A 21,473-nucleotide genomic window follows, 5' to 3' on the forward strand; every position below is an offset into this window, starting at 1 on the left:
GGTAGCTCACACCTGTAACCTCAGCACATTGAGGGACTGAGGCAGGAGGATCATTTGAGGCCAGGAGTTTGAGACCAGCCCAGGCAACATAGCGAGACCCTGTCTTTACAAAACGTACAAAATTAGCCCAGTGTGGTGGTGCATGCCTGTAGTCCCAGCTACTTGGGAGGCTGAGGTGGGAGGACTGCTTGAGCCCTGGAGTTGGAGGCTGCAGTGAGCTATGATCATGCCACTGTACTTCAGCCTGGTTGACAGAGCCAGACTCCATCTCTTAAATTTTTTTTTTTAATTGAGGTGAAATTCACAAAACAAAGAATTAACTGTTGTTCTAAAGCAAGCAGTTCAGGGGCATTTAGTACAGTTGCATTGTTGAGCAATCAGCCCTCTATCTAGTTTCAAAACATTTTCATCACCCAAAGGAAACTCCATATCCATTAAGCAGTAGCTCCCCATCCCCCTACCACCCCAGCCCCTGGCAACCACCTGTCTGCCTTCTGTCTCTATGAATTTACCTGTTCTGTCCTTCCCAGTTTTGCAAGCACGGCTCAGGTTCCCAATTGTTCAGTGAGCTTGCCCTGGTCCCCACCAGGATGACAGTGTGGTGTGTGGAAGGAACACTTGCCTGAGAGTTAGGGAGAGCAGGGCTCAGCCTCCAATGCAGCACCTGCTTGACTGTGTGCCCTTGGGCAGAATTCCTCGCACACAGTGGGCACTCAAAGAGCATTGCCTTCTTTTTCTTTTCTCGCTTGTACCTGCTTAATGTGTTACAAGGATCTCACCAGGGAAATGTCTAGCATGACGTCACCTCCACCGCTGCATGGAGAGACAGCGAAATACCACTATTTAAATATCTGCAGGGCTGGGCGTGGGGGCTCACGCCTGCAATCCCAGCACTTCAGGAGGCTGAGGTGGGTGGATCACCTGAGGTCAGGAGTTCGAGACCAGCCTGACCAACATGGCGAAACCCCATCTCTACTAAAAATACAAAAAAAATTAGCCAAGCGTGGTGGTGGGCACCCGTAATCCCAGCTACTCAGGAGGCTGAGGTAGGAGAATTGCTTGAACATGGGAGGTGGAGGCCTTAGTGAGAAGAGATGGCGCCACCGTACTCCAGCTTGGGCAACAAAGTGAGACTCTGTCTCATAAATAAATAAATAAATAAATAAATAAATAAATATCTGTGTGGCCTTGATTAAGGGGCTTGACCTCTGTGGAATGGGAACCAGTTTACCTGGAGCTCCAGGGTTGCGAGGGTTAAAGAAGGAATATAGCCGGAGTGCCTGGTTGCCTCCTGCTTGTTTTCTCCTCCCCACGTGCCAGGGGTCCTCTTTCACCCTTTCATCTCCCAGGGCAGCAAACACAGAGGCTTGGATTGAATTGCTTTGCCTGGGCTTTGGAGAGAAGGTAGCTAGTTGAAAGGACTTCTGGGAGCCAGAGGTCTTGATACCTTGGGGTAAGGGTTGCCAACAATGATGATAATGATAGCTAATTTTATTAAATGCTTGGTATATACCAGGCACTGTTCTAGGTGCACAATACAATTTCCCTCATTTTATCGTCCGAAGAGGTAGGTTCTATGATGAGCCTGAAGGAGGGAGGTTAAGTAACTTGCTCATGATCACATGGCTGGTGGAGTAGGATTCTAACCCACACTATCCTGTTCTTAATTTCTGCTCTTTCTCTCCAGGAGGTCACTGTAGCTTGAATGGTGACCCCAGGCAGAAGGCTAGAGATTTGTGGTAAAAATTAATGTAGGATCCAAAGGACTCTAAACATTAAACATTAGATCCTGAGAGTTCTAAACATTGAAGACAAAGGCCGGGCGCGGTGGCTCATGCCTGTAATCCCAACACTTTGGAAGGCCAAGGCAGGCAGATCACCTGAGGTCAGGAGTTTGAGAGCAGCCTGGCCAACATGGTGAAATCCCGTCTCTACTAAAAATACAAAAATTAGCTGGGCATGGTAGCAGGAGCCTGTAATCTCAGCTACTTGGGAGGCTGAGGCAGGATAATCGCTTGAACCCAGGAGGCAGAGGTTGCAGTGAGCTGAGATCGCGCCATTGCACTCCAGCCTGGGTGACAAGAGCAAGACTCCGTCTACAAACAAACAACAACAACAAAACATTAAAGAGAGACCCAACTAGGTGACTGACTTTCCCGTGCACATGAGGATTCTGAGTAGAGTTAGGGAGTGTCAGCTGACTGCATTTCTCAGACAGGTTTGTGGACCCCTGGAGGTATTCCCTTGGGTGCCTTTCCATTTTCTGTTTTCATTTTGATGGTGATCTAAATGAGAAATAAAAAGAAGCCTGTTCTTGTTCACCTGGTTGACTGCTGGCTGGGGGCTGCCCCTGGAGATGAGGAAGCAGGAACATGGGGTTTGATCGCTCCTGTGTGGCAAAGTGTTTGCTGAATTTGCACTGGGCCACTGCTGCAGGTTGTGATGGAGGTCGAGGGTGAGCAGGGCTTAGCAGCTGGCAGCTCCAGGATCCCATGGACTTGGAAATGTATCCCTCCTCGGCCACTTCCCATGAGTCTAGCCCTGGGTAAAGGTCTTTTCCTCTCTGAGTCACAGTGTTCTCTACTGAATGGAACCACTTTTCCTTCTTTGTCAAGGATTAAATAGGTCATTTAATGACTTAGCCTGTGGTTGGGATTCGGTAGGTGGGCACATTGTTCCTACTTCTCTCTGAGTGGCGGCAACATTTGAAGCTGGCAGATTCTTCTGGGCCCTGGCGGAGGTGCTGTACTCTCCACTGGATTCAAAGGGAGAAGGTAAGAAGGAGACTGGTAGCATTGATTGCTCTGCCTGCCTGTCTCTGCAGAGTCTCCATAGACTGTAGAGCTGGAAGGGCATGATCTCATGCAGAAACCAGTGGCCAGACAAGGGAAGTGACTGTCCCTGTCACATGGCTAGCAAGCAGGCCAGGCAGGATGAGAGCTCAGGCCTTGTGACTTCCCGTTCAGTGCTCTCCACTGTTCCTCTCAGTTGATAAGTGGTCCTGAGACCACCTGTGCTCCTTGCAGCCTAGTAAACCCCCTTCTCTCTTATTTATTTATTTTTGAGACACTCTCACTCTGTTGCCCAGGCTGGAGTGCATTGGTGCAATCTTGGCTCACTGTAACCTCCGTCTCCCAGGTTCAAGCGATTCTCCTGCCTCAGCCTTCTGAGTAGCTGGGACTACAGGCGCCCGTCACCACACCTGGCTAATTTTTGTATTTTTAGTAGAGACGGGGTTTTGCCATGTTGGCCAGGCTGGTCTTGAACTCCTGACCTCATGTGATCCGTCCGCTTTGGCCCCCCAAAGTTGCTGGGATTATAGGTGTGAGCCACTGTGCCTGGCTGACCCCTTTCTCTTAAGCTCATTCAGGGCTAAGTTGGCCACAGCTGCCCCTTCTGAGGTCAAGATTATCTCACTTGACAGCTTCTTGCCTGCAGAGAGATCACAGCCAGGAAGTGTGAGCCTCTGGGTTGAGACCTGCACAATCTCGGGTAGTTTTTGTATAAAGAACAGGTTTTTCTTTTCTTCCCCCCCCACCCCATCATGAAAAGAGGCTTTGCAGAGTAAGGCAGAGGAGGCTGCTGACATCTCATCCAGAATAATCAGTAGAGCAAAATACTCTTAAAAAAAAAAAAAAAAAAGACATCGAGGATCATTGTGCATACCAGGAAGGGTAGGTGCTAAACCTTTATTATTCAGGTGTGAAAGGAGCCGGCAGTGTCAGCTCCACTGGAAGCTTACGAGAAACACAGAGTTGGCAGGGCACGGTGGCTCACACCTGTAATCCCAGCACTTTGGGAGGCCGAGGTGGGTGGATCACGAGGTCAGGAGTTTAAGACCAGCCTGGCCAACATGGTGAAACCCTGTCTCTACTGAAAATACAAAAATTAGCCGGGCGTGGTGGTGCGTGCCTGTAATCCCAGCTTTTTGGGAGGCTGAGGCAGGAGAATTGCTTGAACCTGGGAGGTGGAGGTTGCAGGGAGCCGAGACTGGGCCACTGCACTCCAGCCTGGGTGACACAGCAACACTCCGTCTCAGAAAAAAAAAAAAAAGAGTTAGGCCCCATCCTCAACCTCCTGAACCAGAACCTCCCTTTTGGGCTGGGTGTGGTGGCTCACACCTATTATCCCAGCTGTTTGGGAGGCAGAGGCAGGAGGATCGCTTGAGTCTGGGGTGAGACCCCGTCTGTATAAAAAATAAAAATAAATAAATTATCTGTGAGTGGTGCCCTGTGCCTGTAGTCCCAGCTACTCGGAGGGCTGAGGCAGGAGAGTCGATTGAACCCAGGAGGTTGAGACTGTAGAAAGCTATGATTGTGCCACTTACTCTAGCCCATGTGATAGAGATCCTGTCTCAGAAAAAAACGCCAAAAAATAAATTGCTGCTTTTTAACAAGATCTCCAGGAGATCTGTGTGGACATTAAAGTTTGAGAAGCACTGCATTAAAAAATTATCACTAGGGAGATGAAAGAGATTTTTATTTTCTTTGTACATTTTTTCCTGATTTGTTATTATTCTATTTTTTTCCTGCATGAATTGCTTTTATGATGAGAAAAAAATAGCAAAGGCATTTCCAGTGCGGGGAACCCTGTCAAGTTTCCAGTTGGCATTGCTCAAGGGCAGGTAGAGCTGTCGGGCTCACTCATACTTGGAAAAAGGAAGAAAGCAAGCCTAACTTTTTTTCTATTCTGGTGTTAGGGAGGGAAGATCAGAATCCAAACCCTGGATTCTGAAACAAAGAGCGTTTGATTGATAGACACAGGTGTCAAGAGGTGTTGGAGGACCTTGGCCAGATGGGTCTATAGCCATCCTGAGCGATGCCTTGAGATGCCTCATGGCTGGTGGGAATGGTGCCTAGGCTATTCTTGATCGAAACCTCTTCCAGAAAAAAATACTAACGGTACTTTTTGAAGAGTCAGTTGTTTTATTGTGTGTCTCAAAGAATCTGCTGACTGGTTTCATTACCAGGCCTGGGGGTAAGGCAGGATCCTTGGTATTGTGGTCCTAACACAGGCTTTAGAGGTCTTGAGTCAGGATCACTGTTCCACCAATTAGTATTCAAATTTCAACAGTCTAACCCCTTTATCATGGCCCACACGATCCTATGTGACTGACATCTGCCCGCCTGTTTGATCTTTCCTTCCACTTTTTTGCTTTTTGCTCAAGCCACAGCAAACTTCCTTCTGGTCCTGGAAGACCAGAGCCAAGCTTGTCCTACCTCCGAGCCTCTCCCCTTGCTGTTTGCTCTGTCTGGAACACTGGCCTGCCCTGTCTTTCCATAGCTGTTCCTTCTCTTCATAGAGGGCTCAGCTCAAATGTCACCTGTGCAGAGAGGCCCTCAGTGGCTGCCTTGGCTAAAGCAGCCTTCTTGCTTCCTCCCTATCCCATCACTGTGTTTGTTTTGTCTTCCTAGTGTGACTCTCTAACACTTTTTCATTGATTAGTTTACATTTATACTTTTTTTTTTTTTTTGAGATAGGGCCTCACTCTGTCACTCAGGCCAGAGTGCAGTGGCACGATCTCAGCTCACTGCAGCCATTGCCTCCTGGGTTCAAGTGATCCTTCCACTTCTGCCTCATGAACAGCTGGGACCACAGGTGTGTGCCACCACGCCCGGCTAATTTTTTGTGTTTTTGGTAGATACAGGGCTTCATCATGTTGCCCAGGCTGGTCTCAAACTCCTGATGTCAAGCAATCTTCCTGCCTCAGCCTTCCAAAGTGCTGGGATTACAGGTGTGAGCCACTGTACCCGGCCTTCTAGTAGGATTTTAGCTCCATGAGAAGATGGATCTTTTACACCATTTAACTCCGGTGTCCTCAGCTCTTAAAACATTGCCTCACATACACTAGAAGTTAAATAAGTCCTGGGTGGATCAACACACACAATCACTTGACTTCCCCGAGCTTCAGCTTTCCCATCTGTGTTTGGGAACCTGGCTTATAGGGTGAATGTGAAGATGAAGGGAGATGATGCATGCATAGTGCTTAGCTTGGTTCCTGGCATGTAGGATGCGCCCAGCACACGGTGGTGGTTGTTATCAACCAGCTGGCCCTGGCTTGACCTGGAGGAATCACTGACCACCTCTGAGATAATGCCCTGCTGCTACTCTCTGGTGCAGCCCACGTAGAGTTGCCCAAGACAGAAGCAGCCTGATGGCAATTCAACGCCTGCAGTGTGGAGCGTCTGCCCTTAGAAACTGAATTTCAGTATCCTTTGAAGTGAATGTGCTCTGTGTCTGGTGCATCATACTCCGGGCTTTGTATCTTGCTTGGAGTCATTGGGCCTCTTGTGGAGATCAGGTGTGGCTCTACCAACTGTCTGCCTGGTGCTTTCAAGTGCTCTTGCCCCAGACCTTCCTAAATGGAAGTTCAGCATATGTCATGTGTGTCAGTTGGGAATGCTTTTGGATGCAAGTAACAGCCCAATGTGCAGTGGTGTGGACAAATAGGGTTATTTATTTTGTGAGAGTTAGCTTGTTTCTAGTCTTGGCTTACCAACTCAGTGATATCAGGGCTGGTGTCTTTGTGATTCTCTAGGTCTTTCTCTCAGGCTCATGACTTCGTGGTGGCAAAATGCTACTCTGGCTCCACCCAACATGTTTATGATTAAGGCATGAAGGATGGTGGAGGGAGTGATGCTCTGCATAGCTCTTCTTTCTATCAGAAATGAATGACTTTCCCAGAACTTTGGGAGCCACTTCTGCTTTCTTCTCATTGGCCAGACTGCTTAAGTTCAACCTCAGCTGCTGAGAAGAGGAGTAATCAGGTTTCACAGCTTGGATTGCTGAAGGTGGCATGGGAAAAGGATGTTGGAGATGATAGTGAGAACAGCCAGTGAGCAGTTCCTGCTGTACTGGGAAACTTATATTTTATTTTAGGCTGCTGGTTGACAACTGGGGGCAGTTTTGATTCCCAGGGGACATTTGGCATTACATGGAGACATTTTTGTTATAACTCAGGGGTTTGTGTGTGCTAATGCCACGTAGTGTGTAGAGGCCATGGATGCAGCTAAACATCTTACAATGTCAGTAGTGCCAAGGGTTGAGAAACCTTTAGACCATTCTAGACATGTTCAGATTTGGGGAAAATTAGTTTAGCTGTTTTCCTTTGATGCAGTAACAGGCAATAGCCAAACTTCATTGTAATGATACAGATTATTGATACCTAGTTGTGCTACTGATTTTGTTAAAGATCAGTAGGAAAGGACTGATCTAGTTGGGGACAGCCGTGTCCGAGCGTCAGAGAGAACTAATTAAGCCTCATTGCATTTTAGGATCACAGAACAATGACAAAAGACAATTTCTGCTGGAGCGACTGCTGGATGCAGTGAAACAGGTAAGCAGAAAGCACACATTTGCCTTTTTGGTCGAGTAATAGTGTCAGATAATTAATGTAGGTCATTTCTTCCCTATAACATACACAGACTAACTCCCACTTTATACCTGGGAACAGTGAAGTGATCTACTCATTTTTCCCAGGAAATGATAGAGCAGTGAACACGGTCAAGGTTGGGTTGGAGGAAGTCCTGTGTCTTGAATTCCCAAAGCCCTCTAGAGGACCCCATCCGTCAGTGATGTCCCTTCAAGAAAGGCACTGGGCCAGGTGCAGTGGCTCACGCCTGTAATCCTAGCACTTTGGGAGGTCAAGGTGACCGGATCACTTGAGGTCAGGAGTTCCAGACTAACCTGGCCAACATGGTGAAACCCTGTCTCTATAAAAATACAAAAATTAGCAGGGTGTGGTGGCAGGCACCTGTAATCCCAGCTACTTGGGAGGCTGAGGCAGGAGAATTGCTTGAACCTGGTAGGTGGTAGTTGCAGTGAGCTGAGATTGCGCCACTGCACTCCAGCCTGGGCAACAGAGTGAGACTTTGTGTCATTAAAAAAAAAAAAAGTCATTGATGTGGGTTTCAAAGTCTCATTGTCTCATTTCCAAGCAGTTGTGTTTGAGGGCAACTCTGAGGGGTGCAGAGGTGGTGGTTTGGAGTTAGGACCCTCGAGCACAAGAAGGCTAGGACAAGGAGGATGGAGGCCACGCCTGAGGTCCTCTGCTGCTGCCCCCAGCTGTGTGGACGCTCCAGGTAGCTTTGCTGTGATTGATGTGATGCTGTTTGTGATGCTTGACTCCGGCTGGGCTTGGAAGTAAGCTTGGATGTGAGACTGGAATCTGCTTGCCGCATGTACCAGATGCATGCTGCTGTTAGCTGTCACTGATCACACCTCCACTGTGTGCCAGGCTCTCTGCTAAGCACTTTATATTTAATCCTTCTAACAACACTGTGAGATTATAGTTCCTACAATTGGTTTCATTTTACGGATGAAGAGACTGAAGCTCAGAGGGATCCAACAACTTGCTCAGGGCGTCATAGTAAGAGGCAGAGCTAGGATCCAAATCTAGGAATTCTAGGAGCTTGCTTTTTGGAAGGGGCAGTTGACGGTTATAATTATGTGTGTAATTACACTATAGGGAGGTAAGTATTTTAATAGGGGTGTGTGTTAAAATTTTTTTTTTTATTTTCTAGAGACAAGGTCTTGCTGTTGCCTAGGCTAGAGCGCAGTGGTACCATCATAGCTCATTGTAACCTCAAACTCCTGGGCTCAAGCAATCCTCCCACCTTAGCCTCCTAAGTGGCTGGGACTACAGGTGCATGCCACCACATGTGCCGGGGTGTACGTTGAGTATTGAAGTGAGCCCAGAGAATGCAGTATCTACGCAAGCCTTGAGGCATTGTATGGTAGGAAGGTCACAGGCTTTTGGCTCAGACGTAGCTGGAATTAAAGGCCAGCTTTATTACTTCTTTAGCTCTGTGTGTACAGGGACAACTCGTGCACCCTCCCTGAGCAGCTCTCTGCTCTTCTGTAACTGGGTCACTTATCTGTGTATGGCTGCTGAGGGAATTGGATTGTTAAAGTAGGTAAAGGGCCTGGACAGAGCCTGGTCCTCTGTTAACATGGTAACATCTGGAGCCCATGTTATTAGCTGGTTCTTTCTCTGCTGCAGAAATGGAAAATATAATAAGGCGAAGAGGCAAGTTGAACTACTTTAAAGGTAGCAGTTAGAGAGAAATAAAGTGGAGCTTATGCCCAGAGCTGCTGCTGTTTTTTTTTAGATGGAGTCTAGCTCTGTCGCCCGGGCTGGAGTACAGTGGTGCAGTCTCAGCTCACTGCAACCTCTGTCTCCTGGGCTCAAGTGATTCTGCTGCCTCAGCCTCATGAGTAGCTGGGACTACAGGTCCGTGCCATCACACCCGGCTAATTTTTGTATTTTTTAGTAGAGGTGGGGTTTCACCATGTTGGCCAGGCTGGTCTCGAACTCCTGACCTCGGGTGATCCGCCCAACTCGGCCGTCCTAACTGCTGGGATTACAGACGTGAGCCACCGCGCCTAGCCTGCTGTTATTATTATCATTATTATTATTATTGTTATTTTGACGGTTAAAGTGTTGCATATGACTTTTTTTGCATGACTTTCAAAAATAAACTTTATTGATGTATAATTTACATATAATAAAATATAGCCATTTAAGTGTACAGTTTCATGTGTTTTGACAAATATGTCATTTAAAATTATATGTATATACACACACACATATACACATACACACACACAGATACACACACACACATTGTAGTAGTTTTGATAATAAGTTTAGGAACCCTGCAAGCGTGCTACCCATAGCAGAGATACTATACCTTTAAAAGAAAAGACAAGTAGGCCAGGCACGGTGGCTCACACCTGTAATCCCAGTGCTTTGAGAGGTTGGGGCAGGAGGATATCTTGAGGCCAGGGGTGTGAGACCAGCCTGGGCAACATAGTGAGACCCCTGTCTCTACAAAAAATAAAAAATATCAGTTGGACCTGGTGGCACGTTCCTGTAATCCCAGCTACTTGGGAGACTGAGGTGGGAGAATTGCTTGAGCCTAGGTATTCGAGATTACCATGAGCTATGATGGCATCACTCCCCTTCAGCCTCGGTGACAGAGAGAGACCCTATTTTTTTTTTTTTTAAAGAAAATTAGAATAGTGGATAATGGTGATGATTGCTTAACATTGTGAATTGAAATTTACACCTAAAGATGGTTAAAATGGCAATGTTTATGTTATCTATATTTTAATTTTACTAATTCAAAAAGTAGCCTGCAGGGCCGGGCGCATTGGCTCACGCCTGTAATCCCAGCACTTTGGGAGGCCAAGGCGGTCGGATCACCTGAGGTCGGGAGTTCAAGACCAGCCTGACCAACATAGAGAAACCCCATCTCTACTAAGAATACAAAAATTAGCCGGGCATAGTGGCACATGCCTGTAATCCCAGCTACTTGGGTATCTGAGGCAGGAGAATGGCTTGAACCCGGGAGGCAGAGGTTGTGGTGAGCTGAGATCGATATTACACTCCAGCCTGGGCAACAAGAGTGAAACTCCATCTCAAAAAAAAAAAAAAAAAGGAGTAGCCTGCTTCTATTTTTCCCACCCTCAGTAAATTGTCATTCCGCACAACCAGATGACTCATATGAGGCTTGATTTGTGCTGTTGTAACGTCATAGCCAGTCATGACAACTCTGGGGCTCGTCCAAAGGGATCCATTCAGCACAGGCTTATAGAAGTTGTAATTATCGCCCGTGAAGAGCTGTGTGTGGTAGACAGTCAGCTGCCGACAGGCAGGAGCAGCTTCCTGGATAATGCACAGATGGCTGTGTGCTTTTGTTTTTCTGTTAGCAATGTTTTCCCACAAGGCTTGCTTCTGTACAAGTGGGAGATAAGGGTTTCCTTTAAGTGGCAGCTTCAAGGCTGGGGTGCGCACCTTCTTAAGTCTTGTGCTGATACCCAGGGGACAGGGACGTCCTCACTTGGCATGCAGAGCTTCTGGTCCCGTGTCCCCTCCCTGACCCTTAAGCCCTGTGTAGGCTGTTTTATGACGTTTTGAGTGTCCCATCCCAACAGCTGATCTCAGCAGCTTCTTTTTCTGTGCAGTGCCAGATCCGCTTTGGAGGGAGAAAGGAGATTGCCTCGGATTCCGACAGCAGGTAAATATGTCACTTCTAAAACCGTTGACCATCGAGGTTGGAAAGGCGGCAGAAGGTGGCCGGCTTCTAAAACCGTTGACCATCGAGGTTGGAAAGGCGGCAGAAGGCGGCTGGCTTCTGGGCTCTGCCTCTGCAGCCAAGAGGTGCAGCGCTGAAATTTGACTCAACCGTGGACTCTGTGCGGTGACTGCTCATCTCCAACACTCCACATTTTCCATAATTCTCTTTCTAGGAATCTATTCTGAGGGAATTATTCGAGATACCTTTCCATATAAAGTTATTTTCAGGGTAATTAATAATTATGAGAACTTGGATGCCTAAATACCCAAGATTTGGGAAATGGTTAATAAAATATAGTGCATTAATGGGGTGGAATGTTATATAGCCATTAAAAATGATGTTTATGTAGAATTTGTTTTCAACAGAAAAATGCATAGGTAGTGATTTAAAAATTACATATATAGTAAAAAGGCATATGTTATAACAAGAGCAGGATCCGAAATTCTATGCGTATGGAGTGGTCCTAGCTATGTTAGATAGCACCTCTGGCCAGAACACACCGAAACGTGGCCTGAGGTAGCAGTAGGGGTAAGAATACTGGGAATATTGCTTTCTAGTATTTTTCACATTTTTTATTGTGATCATTTGTTCCTTTTATGACAAAAATAATTCCTAAAAATGGGCCGGGTGCGGTGGCTCATGCCAATAATCCCAGCACTTTGCAAGGCTGAGGCAGGTGGATCACTTGAGGTCAGGAGTTCGAGACCAGGCTGGCCAACATGGTGAAACCCCGTCTCTACTGAAAACACAAAAATTAGCTGGGTGTGGTGGTGCACACCTGTAGTCCCAGGGTCTTGGGAGGCTGAGGCAGGAGAATCGCTTGAACCCAGGCTAATTTTGGGGAAAATTAAGGGTTTAGGAGGTGGAGGTTGCAGTGAGCTGAGATCGCGCCACTGTACTCCAGCCTGGGTGACAGAGTGAGACAGGATGAGACTGTGTCTCAAAAAATAAAATTCGGCTGGGCGCAGTGGCTCACGCCTGTAATCCCAGCACTTTGGGAGGTTGAGGCGGGTGGATCACGAGGTCAGGAGTTCGAGTCCAGCCTGGCCAAGATGGTGAAACCCCGTCTCTACTAAAAATACAAAAAATTAGCCAGGCACGGTGGCGGGTGCCTGTAATCCCAGCTACTTGGGAGACTGAGGCAGGAGAATTGCCTAAATCCAGGAGGCAGAGGTTGCAGTGAGCCGAGATTGCGCCACTGTACTCTAGCCTGGGCGACAGAGCAAGATTCCATCTCAAAAAAAAAAAAAAATTCCTAAAAATGGCCATTGACATTCACGACCCAGGAAAGGCTGACATCATTGCATAAGCTGATAACATTGGCTGGAAGGAGACACATAGGGCTTGGTAAAGGTAGGAGACACATAGGCATCCAGTCCTTGCTGCAAATGCGTTGTGAGCTCAGTCAGAGCTGATCCTTGCTCTGTAGCCCCTGGGGTGGCAGGAGGGACATTCCTGTGTGGGAAGGAAAGGGAAGGGAACTTGCTTGCTCAATGTTCATCTCATCCTGGAAACTGTTCATGTCCCCCACCCTCTCACCCTAGCCCACCCTCCTGTGTCCATCGTTCCTCTTTCTGTCCTTTCCTACCCTTGTTCTTTTGTAGAATTTTAACAGCCATGAGAAAGCATGTAGACCTTCCTGGAATAGAGCCACGTGGATGATTTGAAACTGGCACAGATTTAAAATGATGCACCCTATTATCCATTCCTTCTTTGCTTAGGTTTTCTCCATTGCACGTATTACCATCCAACAAACTATATATACATTCGGCTTTTTAATTTTGCCTATTACCTGTCACTATAATGTCGGCTCTGTGCAGGCAGGGATGATTTGCTGTCTTGTTTACAGATGTTTCTCTAGTGCCTAGAAGCATCTAGAAGGTGCTCAGTAAAAATTTGTTATCCGGATGAGCGTGTGTATCACATTGTACTGTAGTCAAGCATTTAAATATGTGTGCCACCACGAAGCCTGTAAGATTTGAAGGCAGAAAGGGTGTTTCTCCATTTATTTTTAAAATTTTACTTCTCAGTGTTGTACACAAGCACTTTGTGCCTGTCGTACATTAGATTCTCAGTATATGTTTGTGGCATTAGATCATTCGACTGATTGATCAATTTAGTCCTTCTTGAGGGCCTACTATGGGGCCTGGCCTTGGTCCACACAGGGATCCAAGGTCTGCTTGCATCAGAATCACCTGGGAGGCTTATTGATTAATGATCCTGTGTCTAAGTCCTGTCCTAGTTGTACTGGAGCAGGATGTGTATATGTGCATGAGTGTGTGTGTGTATGCCTGAAGCCGAGGAGCTTGCTGAGAATTTGCATTTCAACAGGACTCCCAGGTGATTCTGCTGGACACCAAAGCTTCCAGTGCAATCACTGTTCCAGGGTCTGGGATGCAAAGGTAATTAGGAAAGACTCCTCCTTCCTGGCCGGGTTGGTTTGTCTGTGTGTATGGGTGTGTGTGCCGTGTGTGTGTCTAAGTATCCATGACTTCTTGACCACTTTTCTTCATTACCATGCTGTCCACTTCCTGAGAGAGGCAATCCTGCTCTGAATGTTGGGTTAATGTATTCTTACACGGGTGGAGTATCCCTCATCCAAAAACCCGAAATTCAAAATGCTCCAAAATTCAAAACTTTTTGAGTACCAGCATGATGCTCAAAGGAAATGCTCATGGAAGCCAGTTGGATTTTGGAGTTTTGGATTAGGCGTGCCTAACTGTTAAGTATATAATGCAAATATTCCACAGTCAGGAAAAATCTGAAATCCGAAACATTTCTGATCCTAAGCATTTTGGATAAGGAATACTGAACCTATATAATAGAATTTACTACCATAACCTTTGTTATAGAAAATGTTCTATTTTATAGTAGAATTTAAAAAGTTAATTCTTTCTGTGATAACTGTTGTTTATGGCTAAAAGGAGTACGTGGCTTACTATTACTAATAATAGGCCAGGCGCTGTGGCTCATGTCTGTAATCTCATTGCTTTGGGAGGCTGAGGTAGGAGGATTGCTTGAGGCCAGGAGTTCAAGGCTGCGGTGAGCTATGATCGTGCCATTGCATTCTAGCTTGGGCAATAGACAGAGACCCTGTCTCTAAAATAATAATAATAATAATAATAATAATAGCCAGGCATGGTGGCTCACGCCTGTAATCCCAGCACTTTGGGAGGCTGAGGCGGAAGGATCACCTGAAGTCGGGAGTTTGAGACCAGCCTGACCAACGTGGAGAAACCCCGTCTCTACTTAAAATACAAAATTAGCCAGGCATGGTGGCACATGCCTGTAATCCTAGCTAAGCAGGGAGGCTGAGGCAGGAGAAGTGCTTGAACCCAGGAGGCGGAGGTTTTGGTGAGCCGAGATTGCGCCATTGCGTTCCAGCCTGGGCAACAAGAGCGATACTGTCTCAGAAAAAAAAAAAAAAAAAAGCAATAATAATAGTTATAGTTTGTGACTACTTTTGCTACATTTTATTTATGTTGATTCCTAGTCCTCAGAAGGAGCAGAAGTATTACCCTTTCTTTTTTTTTTTGAGACAGGGTCTTGCTCTGTTGCTCAGCCTGGAGTACAGTGGTGTGATCATGGTTCACATCAGCCTCAACCTCCCAGGCTCAAGATCTTCCCATCTCAGCCTCCTGAGTAGCTAAGACTACAGATGCAAGCCACCATACCTGGCTAATTTTTGTATTTTTTGTAGAGATGGGGTCTCACTATGTTGCCCAGGCTGGTCTCAAACTTGTGGACTCAAGTGATCCTCCCACCTTGGCCACCCAAAGTGTTGGTATTACAGGTATGAGCCACACTGTGCCTGGGTTATCCCTTTTTTACTGATGAGAAAACAGATTCAGAGAGGCAAAATGCCATAGCCTACGTTAGACGTTTTGGAACGGCTAGAGTTCCATGACTTGTTCTTTCTCCCTTGTGTGCTATTTAGTGACTAAATGGTTTTTGAGGCTGAGTTTAAAAAAAAAAATTATTCTCCTCTACCTCAGTGGGATTCCTTCTTAATATCAGAGACCTGGTCTTACCTTTGAAATGTATTTGGGTAAAGGTGGCACCACCTTCATGTTGGAAAGGCCACATCATTGTCCCTATTCTGTGAGAAAGTTGAATCTCGGCTGGATGCAGTGGCTCACGCCTATAATCCCAGCCTTTTGGGAGGCTGAGGCAGGCGAATCACTTGAGGTCAGGAGTTCAAGACCAGCCTGGCCAACATGGCAAAACCCCGTCTCTACTAAAAATACAAAAATTAGCCAGGCGTGGTGGTGCCCACCTGTAATCCCAGCTACTCGGGAGGCTGAGACAGGAGAATCGCTTGAACCCAGGAGGCAGAGGTTGCAGTAAGCCGAGATCACACCGTTGCAATGCAGCCTGAGTGAGAGAGTAAGACTCTCTCAAAAAAATAATTAAAAAGAAGAAGAAAGTTGAATCTCAAGAGGGAAAGTCAGCGAACATTTAAAAATAACTTAGGACTGACAAGATAGATGAGTTGCCTCCCTTCCTCACCGCTGATAGCTGGCCCGGCCCTGGAGTTGAGCTCAAATCCACTCACTTCCCTCCAACTCCTCTCCTGGCCCGCGGTCCCCATCACCAGCATCTCACAGCATGGCCGCTGCAGCCTTAGGCTCTTCCCATTCGTTCTTGTCCTGCTTCCACCACATTGAATGCAGAATGCAGATTCCCTCACCTCATGCTCCCTTGAAACCTCCCAGCTGCCTTGTCTTTGCTCTTGGGAGAAAGACCCACGTCCTTAACACAGCCTGGAGGCCTCACATGCCCTGCTCTCTGATCCAGCCATCTGCCCTTTTTCTCCTTTTGTTTTTAAAGCTTTTCACTACTTTTTCTTTCTTTTTTTGAGATGGAGTCTCGCTCTGTCACCCAGGCCGGAGTGCAGTGGCGCTATCTCGGCTCCCTGCAAGCTCTGCCTCCCAGGTTCACGCTGTTCTCCTGCCTCAGCCTCCCATGTAGCTGGGACTACAGACGCCCGCCACCATGCCCAGCTAATTTGTTTGTATTTTTAGTAGAGATGGGGTTTCACCGTGTTAGCCAGGATAGTTTTGATCTCCTGACCTTGTGATCCGCCCGCCTCGGCCTCCCAAAGTGCTGGGATTACAGGCGTGAGCCACTGCGCCTGGCCTGCTTTTCGCTACTTTTTCAAGGAAATTTTTTTTTCTTTTTTTGAGATGGAGTTTCGCTCTTGTTGCCCAGGCTGGACTGCAATGGCGCGATCTTGGCTCACCGCAACCTCTGCCTCCTGGGTTCAAGCGATTCTCTTGCCTCGGCCTTCCAGGTAGCTGGGATTACAGGTGTGTACCACCATGCCTGGCTAATTTTGTATTTTTAGTAGAGACAGTATTTCTCCATGTTGGTCAGGCTGGACCTGAACTCCCGACCTCAGGTGATCCTCCCGCCTCGGCCTCCCAAAGTGCTGGGATTACAGGCATGAGCCACCGCACCCGGCCTGGATCATTTTTGACTTACAAAAATGACAGCTTGTTCAAAATAGTTAAAAACAATATGTTTTTCGTATGCCTCTCTTTTTTAAAAGAGTGTGCAGATATCAGGCTCAGAGCCGTCCTCTGGCCATGGCAGAGAGTCAAAATTTATTACATTAATTGTATTTAGTTTTTTTTTTTTTTTTCTTTTTTAACTTGAGATGGAGCCTTGCTCTGTCGCACAGGCTGGAGTACAGTGGCGCAATCTCAGTTCACTGCAACCTCCACCTCCCGGGTTCAAGCGATTCTCTTGACTCAGCCTCCCTAGTAGCTGGGACTATAGGTGCGCGCCTCCAGGCCTGGGTAATTTTTGTATTTTTAGTAGAGACGGGGTTTCACTATGTTGGTCAGGCTGGTCTTAAACACCTGACCTCAAGTGATCCACCTGCCTCAGCCTCCCAAACTGGTGGGATTACAGGCATGAGCCACTGCGCCCGGCCTATGTTTAGTTTTAAGGCTACTGTTTTTATGTCATATGATGCTAGTTTACCATTTACAACTGTGATGGAGCTTTCCATTTTTTAAATTTTAAAATAATTTTTAAACAGGTGTATGTAACTGAACAAAGTGAGTCAAATTCAAGACAAATAAGTAAATAATAGTACATATCCTTACACCGAAAAAAAGCTGCCAAGGTGTTGGTGGATGAGTAATGTTTCGAGTAGAGACAGTGCTAGCAGGACAGAGCAGACCATTGCTGGATTTGGGAGCCTAAATGGTGCACCGTATTTTGCCAAAATACAAAATCCAAGGTGGATGTGTGTGAGCATGTTTTTGTATGTGTGTGTGGGTATGTGTGTGAGAGATATATATATGTATACATGTATATATATATTTTTATATGTGTGTGTGTATATATGTGTGTGTGTGTGTGTGTGTATATATATATATGTATATTTGATCTTGTGAGAGACGGACACCGTGAGATGCTGCCATCTTCACATGGAACATAAAACAGTATTGACATTAGGGGAAATGCAGGCGAGACTTGTTTTTTCCTTCAGATGGAGTCCTGAGAAGCCTCCCCAGGAGGAAGTGGTGGCAGCCGCTGGGCTCTGAAATGCGCGCTTCTCTTTGTTGGTGGTGTTTTCTAGCTCTGTTTTTCTCTAGGAACAAAGACTCGTTCTTATGGTTCATTGAAATTATTCCATGTTCTTTCAGTCAGACTGGCCTGTGAAGAAGCTTTAAGATATCTTTGGAATATTTTGCCCTCTAGAAATAATGGCCCAGGAGCTTTGTAGGCCCTAGAAGTTACCTCAAAGACTAGAAACGTGATTGTTCCGCCAAGGCGTCTTTGTCCCATACGGAATCAGAGGACGTGATCTGGAAGTTTTCCCTTCAAATTATGAACAGGAATGCTAACGGGGGCAGTGGAATCAGCATGGGCTTTGGAGCTTGGCATTTGAATCCTGGGTTTGCCAGTTCTGGGTTGTGTTGCGATTTTGGGCAAGTTTCTTTCTTGCACCTCAATATCCTCAACTCTGAAATGGGTAGTATAATGGTATTCACTTCAGAGGGTTGTTATGAGTCAGTTCATGTGCAACCCTTAAAACATTGCCTGGCAGGTAGTAAGTTTCCAGTAATTGTTAGCTGTTGTGATTTTCATTATAAGGATATGTAAGGTGTTTTGACACTTGGTAGACATTTACCACACACTCACACACTGGATCTCTTTGCCATATGGGTGGCAGTGAGTTGGCTTCAGGTATTCATCTGCATTTAGAAGTTGTTAATTATGGCCAGGTGCAGTGGCCCGCACTTGTAATCTCAAGCCCTTTGAGAGGCCAAGGTGGGAGGATCACTTGATCCCAGGAGTTCGAGACCAGCCTGGCCAACATGGCGAAACCCCATGTCTACAAAAAAACCAAAAATTAGCTAGCCAGGTGCGGTGGTGCAGGCCTGTGGTCTCAGCTACTCAAGAGGCTGAAGCGGGAGGATCACTTGAGCCTAGGAGGTCGAGGCTGCAGTGAGTCATCAACCCGCCATTGCACTCTAGCCTGGGCGATGTGAGACCTCGTCTCAAAACAAACAAACAAACAAACAAGAAATTGCTCTTTTTAATGAACTTTCAGGTGACTGTCAGAAGAAATCATAGGAGAGCATTTCTTCTCCTTTCAAAGCATGCAGAAAAGAATGATTTGTTTTGGTGATTTTTTTTTTTTTAACCTTTTGAGGAATTAGAATCAGTTTTGGACTTTTCAGGAAGCTAAAAACCAAAACCAGCTGCCCTTTGTTGTTCCTGATGTTATTCTTAATGCAGTTGAAAACTGTCACGTGTATCCCCCAGAGGACTTACGAAACGGAATGGCTTTTTCAGGCTTTTTTTTCTCTTTTAAATATCTCTGAATGTTTGTCATGTGATTTTTATGTTCCCTGCATCACAAGTTTCTTACCAGCCTCTAACTAGTTTGAGGTGTTGACTGGATGTTACGATTCTTGTCATCCTGACCAAAAATCCTGGGGTTCATTAATTGGACTCTCCCCCTCCCTTACCCCAAGTACTTTATTTCCACTTTGAGGCTCTGTAGTAGACAGTCCATATTGCATACTCTTTTATTTTACTGCTTGATTAAATGAATTGCTTGGGGTTTTTTTTTTTTTTTTTTTGAAAAAAGATTATTTCTAGCAATGGGGAACCTCCAGGACGTTTAACAAATCTAAGCCCATTTTTATATCTGATTTTTTTTTTTTTGAGACAGGATCGCACTCTGTCGCCCAGGCTGGAGTGCAGTGGCGTGATCTTGGCTCACTGCAACCTCTGCCTCCCAGGTTCTAGCGATTCTTGTGCCTCAGCCTCCGAGTAGCTGGGATTTTAGGGGTGTGTCACCACACCCAGCTAATTTTTGTGTTTTTAGTAGAGACGGGGTTTAACCATGTTGGCCAGGCTGTTCTCAAACTCCTAACCTCAGGTGATCCACCCTTCTTGGCCTCCCAAAGTGCTGGGATTATAGGCGTGAGTCACTATGCCTGGCCCTGAACCTATTTTTATATCTAAATTTAAATTAATATTTGTCTTACTTATATTGATAGTTGTTGAGAAATACTGCCTAGGCCATAATAAACATTATGTTAGCACCGTCATCTTCGTCATGAACCTGACAGTGGAGAGAGGTGGTGAGCATGGGGTGTGAGCTTTGGTGTCAGATATACTTACCTTCATGCCTCCTTCAGCCACAAATCACCAGTTACCAGCTGTGTAATTTTGGACTGACTTAGCTCCTTTAAACCTCGCATGCACCATCTGGAAAATCAGATAATAATAATGATACTCACTTGCTAGGGTTATAGTCAGGATTAGCTGTAATAATATTTGCTTGGTACACCCAGTTAAAACGTAATAAACTCAAAACTTTTTTTTGTATGACTAGACATACCTGTGTTTTTTGACAATTACTAGTAACTGAAGGTTGGAGGGATTGCCTCATTAATTCCTTCATTCAACAGGTATTTATTTATAGAGTACTATGTTGGCATTGGCGATGCAAATTGGATGAGATGGTTGCTGTCTTCAAGAAATTCAAAACTGAATCTGGGAGTTGGACATGTAAATTGTGGGCAATTATGGTGACCTGTAATAAATATTAGTTGTCATAGGGCGACAGCAGGGTTGTTAGCGGTCAAATAGGTGGGATAGGAATTTTAGGCAGAGGGAATAGCAGATGTGAAAGTGCAGGGATGTGGGGCAAAGTGGTGGGGTGCATGAATGAGTGTTGTTTGGTTTGGGAGATCAGTTGGAAAGTCAGCAGGTTCTTCTCTGCTATCACAGGGAAGTATTGGAATGCCATCAGTTAGGGCAGTATTTCTTTTGTTTATTTTTTATTTTTGAGACAGAGTTTTGCTTTTGTTGTCCAGGCTGGAGTACAGTGGTGCAGTCTTGGCTCACTGCAACCTCCGCCTCCCACGTTCAAGTGATTCTCCTGCCTCAGCCTCCCGAGTAGCTGGGACTACAGGCGCCTGCCCCCATGCCTGGCTAATGTTTGTATTTCTCGTGGAGATGAGGTTTCACCATGTTGGCCAGGCTGGTCTTAAACTCCTGACCTCGTGATCTGCCCGCCTCGGCCTCCCAAAGTGCTGGGATTACAGGCGTGAGCCACCGTGCCTGGCAGGGCATTATTTCTTAAACTTAGGCCATTGTGTACCATTTTCACCATTTTTGCCATTTCTATGTTCCATCTGAGCCAGAGGTTGGCTTGAGGTGGAATTCCAAGGCACTGTCTACTCTGGTCTGGTGCTGGTTATATTTTTTCCTGACACACATAAATGTTTATCTGGGTTTCCCTAAAATCGTGTCATGTACTGTGTACCTACAGCGTAGTATGGTACCAATTGGGAAAAAAGAAAGAAAATGACAAAGTCACATTTGCATTTCAGGTAGATAGCTTCTGCCCAGGATGCATGGGTTGGGGTGGGTGGAGGAGTGGAGGTGGGTGGGGTGAGATGGAATCTGGGAGAACCGGGGTTGGAGGGCAGAGTGAAGCAGGGACTGGGGAAGAGACAGAAGGATTGAGGTTTGGGACTGAGCCTTGATGAGATTCAGTGATTACCCAGATGTGGAGGTTGAGAAATAATGTCATGGCTCTACCATGGAAGCTTTGCATAAAACAGCAAAGCCAAATAGCCAGCAAACATATATTAGGAAAATAAAGACACCGAAATTCACTAGTAGTCAAGGAAATGCAAATTAAAGCAACAGTGAGCTGCCTACTTTTCACCCATCAGACTGACAAAACCTCAAAACAACAGTCAAGATTATTGTTAGTGGCCAGGCACGGTGGTTCACGCCTGTAATCCCAGCACTTTGGGAGGCTGAGTGGGGGACAGATTGCTTGAGGCCAGGAGTTCGAGACCAGCCTGGCCAACATAGTGAAACCCTGTCTCTACTGGGGGAAAAAAA

The 21,473-nt window shown here is 46.2% G+C and overlaps 1 protein-coding gene across 19 annotated transcripts in view; it reads left to right on the forward strand.

Moving 5' to 3' along the window:
- SNX29 (sorting nexin 29) overlaps positions 1–21,473 on the forward strand; it is a 597,554-nt gene that overhangs the window by 15,289 nt on the left and 560,792 nt on the right. For all 19 annotated transcript variants that reach the window (XR_001752024.3, NM_032167.5, XM_017023874.2 and 16 more), the window contains exons 2-3: positions 7,275–7,336; positions 10,969–11,021. Coding sequence is in view for 18 of the 19 variants with exons in the window: in NM_032167.5 (NP_115543.3) it covers positions 7,275–7,336; positions 10,969–11,021 (115 nt within the window). In the remaining variant the exon portion in view is untranslated. The remainder of the gene's footprint in view (positions 1–7,274; positions 7,337–10,968; positions 11,022–21,473) is intronic.

This window comes from Homo sapiens, chromosome 16 (assembly GCF_000001405.40).
Source record: "Homo sapiens chromosome 16, GRCh38.p14 Primary Assembly".
Classification (NCBI taxonomy): Eukaryota; Metazoa; Chordata; class Mammalia; order Primates; family Hominidae; genus Homo; species Homo sapiens.